Source organism: Homo sapiens, chromosome 2 (genome assembly GCF_000001405.40).
Source record: "Homo sapiens chromosome 2, GRCh38.p14 Primary Assembly".
Lineage (NCBI taxonomy): Eukaryota > Metazoa > Chordata > Mammalia > Primates > Hominidae > Homo > Homo sapiens.
Window position 1 is genome coordinate 31,265,987 of NC_000002.12, and position 7,187 is coordinate 31,273,173.

General features: G+C 48.9%; 1 protein-coding gene across 2 annotated transcripts in view; it reads left to right on the forward strand.

The window, feature by feature from the left end:
• EHD3 (EH domain containing 3) overlaps positions 1-3,465 on the forward strand; it is a 35,300-nt gene extending 31,835 nt beyond the window's left edge. For both annotated transcript variants that reach the window (NM_014600.3, XM_011532806.3), the window contains one exon: positions 191-3,465. In NM_014600.3, the coding sequence (NP_055415.1) occupies positions 191-718 (528 nt within the window). In that variant the 3' untranslated portion in view covers positions 719-3,465. The remainder of the gene's footprint in view (positions 1-190) is intronic.
• Positions 3,466-7,187: the final 3,722 nt, after the last annotated feature.

A 7,187-nucleotide genomic window follows, 5' to 3' on the forward strand; every position in this document is an offset into this window, starting at 1 on the left:
CTTTATTCCCCTCCTCTCTCATACCTTCGATTACCACGTGATGTCCATCAGCTGAGCCTCTAGGTCACAGGTCTTTCATTGTAGAAAGGGATCAGCTGTGAACATTCTGGTGCTCATAGGAGGCACGTGATAAATGGAGGGCTCTCCTTTCATCGTATCCTATCTTCATCCTCTCTCCTCCTCTTCCCAGGACCAGCTGCAGGCCCAGGACTTTAGCAAGTTCCAGCCGCTGAAGAGCAAGCTGCTGGAGGTAGTGGACGACATGCTGGCCCATGACATTGCCCAGCTCATGGTGCTAGTGCGCCAGGAGGAGTCACAGCGGCCCATCCAGATGGTGAAGGGCGGAGCGTTCGAGGGCACCCTGCACGGCCCCTTTGGGCATGGCTATGGGGAGGGGGCTGGAGAAGGTATCGATGATGCTGAGTGGGTGGTGGCCAGGGACAAGCCCATGTACGACGAGATCTTCTACACCCTGTCACCGGTGGATGGCAAGATCACAGGCGCTAATGCCAAGAAGGAGATGGTGCGCTCCAAGCTGCCCAACAGTGTGCTGGGCAAGATCTGGAAGCTGGCCGACATTGACAAGGATGGCATGCTGGACGACGACGAGTTTGCACTGGCCAACCACCTCATCAAAGTCAAGCTGGAGGGGCACGAGCTGCCCAACGAGCTGCCTGCCCACCTCCTGCCCCCGTCCAAGAGGAAAGTTGCCGAGTGATGGGGTGGGGGGACATTCAGACGGGCAGTGTTAGAGGAGGAGATGGGAGCGGTGACTACACACACACACACACACACACACACACACACAAACATGCACACACACATATGCATATCTTGACATTGCTCTGTAGGTGAGAGAGGACCATGACGCCCATGTTTGCAGCTGATACTTGTTTGGGCACACCTCCAAGTTCTCGGGATTAGAAGGACAAGAGCACTCCCAGGCCCCAGAGTCTAAGCCTAAGTCTCTATCGCTCTTCCCCTCTCCTCGGCCACTCCCCAGATACCAGACCTGAGGCAATTCACTTGCCAGCACAGATGGCCAACCCACCTCCAGATTCCCCAGTGCTTCCACACCCGGGCTCTGAGCAAATGGAAAAGACTTTTCATTTAGTAGACAATTCACTTCTTTTTCTGTGCTTCCCCTATCTGCTTTGGCTTCCTAATAAGAAATCCATTCAAGAGCTAGGAGATCTGAGGGCAGGCGGGCAGCTGCAGGGAGGAGAGGTGAGAAAGGAAGCGTCTTCTAGAGACATTGGCCCAGGAGCTCTGTTCTTTCCTAATCTAAGCCTCTGTCTTCTTCGGCAAACCTTGCTTTGAACTCTGCCAGTATTTCATTTTAAAGAATCCCAGAGCGGGAGAGAGAAGAGAAAAAAATTGATAAGAGTGAGGAAATTGTCCTGTAGTCTATTGAAAACCAGTCAAGGTGGTTTTAGTTCATAGATTTTGTTAGATGTTCTTTCCACCTGGCCTATGATGTTTAGATGTTCATACTTGACTCACATTTACCCAGCCCCTCCTGCGTACCAGGAGCTGTGTTAGGCACTTTATATACATTATTCTATGTGGCCCTCACTGATGCCCCAGGGAAGTATGCATTAGCCTTCCCATTTTGCAGTTGAGGAGGCTGAGTAGCCTCAGAAGGGTTTAGGCGACCTTCTGAAACTCACAGAAGTCACGTGATGGAGAGAGGATTCAAAGCCAGGGCCTCAGACCCTCACACACTTGTCTGTGCTATGATGTATGCAGGATCCCAGCATTGATACCCAATGACAAACTATGGAGAACAAGCAAAGTATGCAGGCCCCCTGCAGCCTCCCAGGACAGGCTGGCAAGGGAGGAGGGCCGGCCAGCATTTGGTGGCCCATCAGTCTGGCCATCTGTCACGTCACAGAAGCAAACCGTGCCTTCTGGCTCTGCGCCCCATATTCCCAGCATCATAGACATCCAACAGCACCAGCAGGAGAGTGGGCTAGCCTGCTGGATGCTGTTCGTGCCTGTCCCTGCTCTGCCTCCCACCCAGTTGCCTGAATCATCCCAGCTCAGATGCAGCCACTGTCTCTTGTCAAGTGGGACCTCATACTATTCTCAGAAGGCTAACTTGAGAGGTTTGGGGCCTTGTTCCCCAGAGGGTCCCCAGGGACTCTGCAGTGTCCTTGGCAAATCCCCACTGTACTCAATGCCCTACATTCTCTTCTGTGGTCTCTCCCCTGGCTTGCTTCATGGCCACTGAACCAATCACTTTGTATGCTATGCTCCTACTGTGATGGAAAACAAAATGAGTATAACTTATTTTATATCCATATTCAGACTATATAGAGAATATTCTATGCATCTATGACGTGCTTACTACTGCAGTGCATTTGTCATTAGTCTTCATGTTAATACAGTACATTTATTCTTTGGTACCTGCCTGGCCACAGAGCATCATTCAATGGAGGCTGAGGGAGAAGGGCTGGGTTCTTACTTGGAGTTCCTGGTGAAATCTTTGGCTGGAAAGGGCTCACTGGGGCCACCCAATGGCCAGCATCCACAACCAGCTTCCCAGTGGGCTGGAGTTTGTCTAGGCTCAGTGACCAACCCAGGCACAGCTGGTGGAGCCACCGCTCCCTGCTCCTCTGGAGTGAAGATGTTCCCTAAGCCCCTGGGCTTCCTTCTGCAAATACACATTTCTCTTTCACATGAAATGAAGGGCAGACAAAGGCCAGGCAAAGAGGTCTCACCTGCTCTGGAGAAAACCCTTGAGTGCCGAGTGCAGGTTAGGGACCATTTCTCAACTCCACACCTTTCTTCAAGCTGAAGGAGAAATGGGAAGGAAATAGCAGAGGTAGGTGAAGTTCCTGTCTTTTTATTTTATAGGAAAGGGAGATGTCTGTTATCCCCTTTCTTCACTGCCACTGGACACACATGCCACTTTCCTGCCCTTCTACATATGCTGCCTCTCTTCCCTCTCTCCATCTTGAAGTCTCCACCCAGGAGAGACCTGTGAGGTGTGGGAATTCCATGTTTGCACAGCTCCCATCTCCCTGGAAAGAGGAACTGATGTTTGAGGGGACAGATGTGGGTCACTTTCCCTGGCAGTGCCCTCTAGCCTTGCTGCCTTGGCTTTCTGACCCCTTCCAGGCTTCAGGGGCCTGGGAGATCTCATGCCTCAGCCCAGGAAACATTTAATAGGGAAAGCAGAGACATGTCATGTCAGCCCCACAGACAAGAATTTCTAGAGCACTTGTCCTGTTGTTCCTTGCCCCGACATTACTCAGTCTGGGCCATGGAATCCATCCAATAAACACAGCAACACCCTATGCTACTGACCAAGCAAAGCTTGCCCCTGGTACCAAAGAGCTAAATCATGACCAAAGTGTGACATGAATGTAACTGAAATGCGGGTTAGTTGCTCAATGTATGCAAAGTCCCACGGACAAGAGTAAAGTCTGATACCAATAAAGTGAATGTATTCCAAAGCTAGCTTGGAGGAGGGGCACACAACGTCCTGCCTTTCAATGTGCCGCTTCCCCTTTGGAGCAGAAAGCAGGCACTTTTATAAGGTAAGGGAGCAAGTGAGCAAGGGTCCGCCTGATAGCATGGTGCCTTATCTACTGGACAGTTGAGTCGGGCCTTCCTGGGCAAAAATAAATTTTAAAAGTGGCCAAGTAGGCATACTTTAGATATAACCTCCTAGTGAATGAAAGTCCTGAGGCAGCCCCTGGAGGGTGGGAGTTCCAAGGCAACCCCTGGAGGTGAAAGCTCAAGGAGGGCATGTTTTGGTCTGCAAATTGGCAGTCAATTCTGGAGGACTATTTTGGAGCAGAGAGATGAACTTGCCCTGTAGGGAATGTCTAGTGAAGGGGAGATGAAAGCTTATATTTGCATTTCCCTTTTTTTGAGACAGTCTCACTCTGTCGCACAGGCTGGAGTGTAGTGGCATGATCCCAGCTCACTGCCACCTCTGCCTCCCAGGTTCAAGCCATTCTTGTGCCTCAGCCTCCCAAGTAGCTGGGACTACAGGTACTCCACCACCACGCCTGGCTAATTTTTTTTTTTTTTTTTTACTTTTAGTGAAAACAGGGTTTCACCATGTTGGCCAGGCTGGTCTTGAATTTCTGACCTCAAGTGATCTGTCCACCTCAGCCTCCCAAAGTGCTGGGATTACAGGCATAGGCGAGAGCCACTGCGCCAGGCCTATATTTGCATTTCTAAAGGGCTACCTAGGAAGTTGGGAATCCAGGAAATGGAAAAAAGAAGAGAGGAAGAAAAAAACAGCTCTTAGAAAACTGGGGTGCTCATTTACATGAATATTTCCAGATGACACCACTGAACCATAGCAGGGCATGGGCCTTGGTTTGCAGAGTGATGAGTGGTTGCCCTGAGTCATCCCCACTTCCATTTGGTTCCAAAACCTGTATTTATGAGTTAACTCATCAGAATCTGCTGAATGACCTGAAGAGAATAGGCTTGTTTATTCTTCCTATGTGATGCTGTCTGGAGTCTATACATCCTCAATCCTTTATTTAATTTCTCCATCCATTCATCCATCGATCTTTTTTATATTCAAAAGATGCTGAGCACCTCTTACAGAAAACATCCTGAGGGAGAATATAGAGATTCATTCCTTGAGTCATTCAAAAACACTCAATATAAAGTCTACCTGAGTGTAGAGACAATTCTATATGGATCAAAGAGCTCACAGCCTAGTAGAGGGGATGAGGCACTTATGCAAACACTGATAATACGGTGAGGGAACATGAAAGGGGGATGCTCAAGAAAGTCAGAAATGGCTTCAAACTGGGGAGGAGGTGGTCAGAGAAAGCCTGTAGCAGGATGGGCACTGGAACTGAGAAACCGTCTGGGGCCAACCTCTTGGGCCTGTTTTCTTCCTTCCTGATCTAAGGAAGACAGGCAGAATTTTTACATAAAACACAACACAGAGCATTCTCAGCCCACTAAATCATGACAGACTGAGAACCACTGAAGTATTTGTGGAAAAGCATGATTAGAATTTTGCCTCTGGGGACTGTGCTGTTTTTTCATAGGCCATTTTCAAGTGAAAATTGTATCAGTATCTTTAAAGTTGAAATGTTAAGTGCCTGGAGGGAAAGAAAAATGGTGATGGAAGAATGTCAGTTATCCCGGCCGAGTGATGAGTACACTAGGGGCACGTCACGGGCACAGACTCCTCATTAGTGCTGTTTACCACAGGTCGGTTCTCCTGTCCCCGGGTTAATGGGAGGACTTTGGTTTTCTCCCTTTGAAGTAAGCGAGCTGTGTGACTTGCTTTGGCTCATGAAGTAGGTGTGTAAGCAACATGTCTCTTCCTCGCAGAGACAAATGTACAATTTGCCACATTCTACTTTTCCTGCCTCTCCAGGAATGTGTGTGGGAGTGAGTGTGAAAATGGAGCCTAAGTCCTGGGTCATGCTAAAACCCCTTCCCGACCTACACTGGACAGATGCCATGAATAAGACATAAACTCCATCATTTTACTGTTAAACCATGGATAGTCATGGGGCTGTTACCTGACATAGCCTATACCATCATGACCAGAGACCTGGTAAGTCTGTCAATAGTTTAGCCCATGAAGCAAGTGAAAAGCAAAGAAAGTTTCTTGGAAACCAAGTTCCTGCCTTCCTAAGAACTGAGGTTGGCCAGGTGCAGTGGCTCATGCCTGTAATCCCAGCACTTTGGGAGGCCGAGGTGGGTGGATCACGAGGTCAGGAGTTCAAGACCAGCCTGGCCAATATGGTGAAACCCCATCTCTACTAAAAATACAAAAATTAGCCGAGCATGGTGGTGCGTGCCTGTAGTCCCAGCTCCTCATGAGGCTGAGGCAGAATAATCGCTTGAACCTGGGAGGCGGAGGCTGCAGTGAGGCGAGATTACATCACTGCACTCCAGCCTGGGCGATAGAGTGAAACTCCGTCTCAAAGAAAAAAAAAAAAAAAAAAGAACTGAGGTCACTGGAAGCTGAAGGGATGGGTGATTCACATAAAGCCCTTCAGTGTCTGAGTTGTATTCTGCCATATCCTAGCTCCACCCTTCAGTGTGACTTTTTAAGTTAGAGAACTTCCCACTTACAGTGTCAAATGAGAACAGGACTTGCCTTCTCTCTTCAGGAATGTAGGTACTGGGGATTGACTGGGTATTTGTCTGCCTAGGGTTACACAGGGAGATATCCAGGTTGGAAAGAGTAAAACTACAATTCCCAGACTCCCTTGCAGCCAGGTTCAGGATGTGATTTTAGGTCCCGCCAACCAGATATACTTGTGGGAGACTGTGCTGTAGTAGATCATGCCAGAGGTGGACCCAGCAGCTATACAGCTGTAACAGCAGCTCTCTGGCTTTGCAGCTTCCTATACTTGCTCAAGAAGCTGGAAGTCTTGTTTGTGAGGTTGGAGAAACAATGGCAACACTGGTAGCACCGTAAGCAACCATCTGCCACTTTGTGTTTGCCCACCTACCTATGGTGCCTGAGCACTGCTGCCATGTACAGATTGCACAGAGGGGACCTAGGCTGCAGCAGGAGAGGCTTCATGGAGGGTGTGTGTGTGTGTGTGTTTGTGCATCTCTATGTGTGTTTGGGTCAGGTTGGGACACTACACAGAGGTGGTTTTTTGCAAGATAATTGAAGATAGGAGAGGACATGACAGCGTTTCTCAGAAAGAATGCTGCGGGGGAATTTTCAAAGCAAGAATCCCTTCCTAAGAATTAATTGGGATGAATATGTGCATGTTAGACAGTTGAGGCTATAAAATAAGGACATGTCAGAAGTAGCAGTTCTATGTCCTTCCCTTAGAATTTCATGAGGTGTAGGGTACCCTTCCCCACCCCAGGGCGCATCACTGAAGTGTAGTGGTGGCAGCCATGGCCTGAGGGCAGGTCAGCACAGAAAAACACCAACTCCACAGAGAGAGTCTGGCGGGAGCAGGTGCATGGGCATCTGGTGACCTGAGTTCCTCCAACAGAACAAGCCATGGGGCCTCTTTGTGCCTCTGTTTATTCTTTCCCCAAGTGGGGTCACTTCAGACATTTGGAGATATGAGGCAACAAGGAGATGGGAAAGTTCACCAACAATGTAAACACTCTACATGAGAGAGTTTTGTTGCCAATGTGCTAGAAGAGGCATGCTTCAGGGAAGAGGTGAGAATCCTATACATGGGAAGGAAGGAAAGAATCAAGCCCTGTAAAAGTAC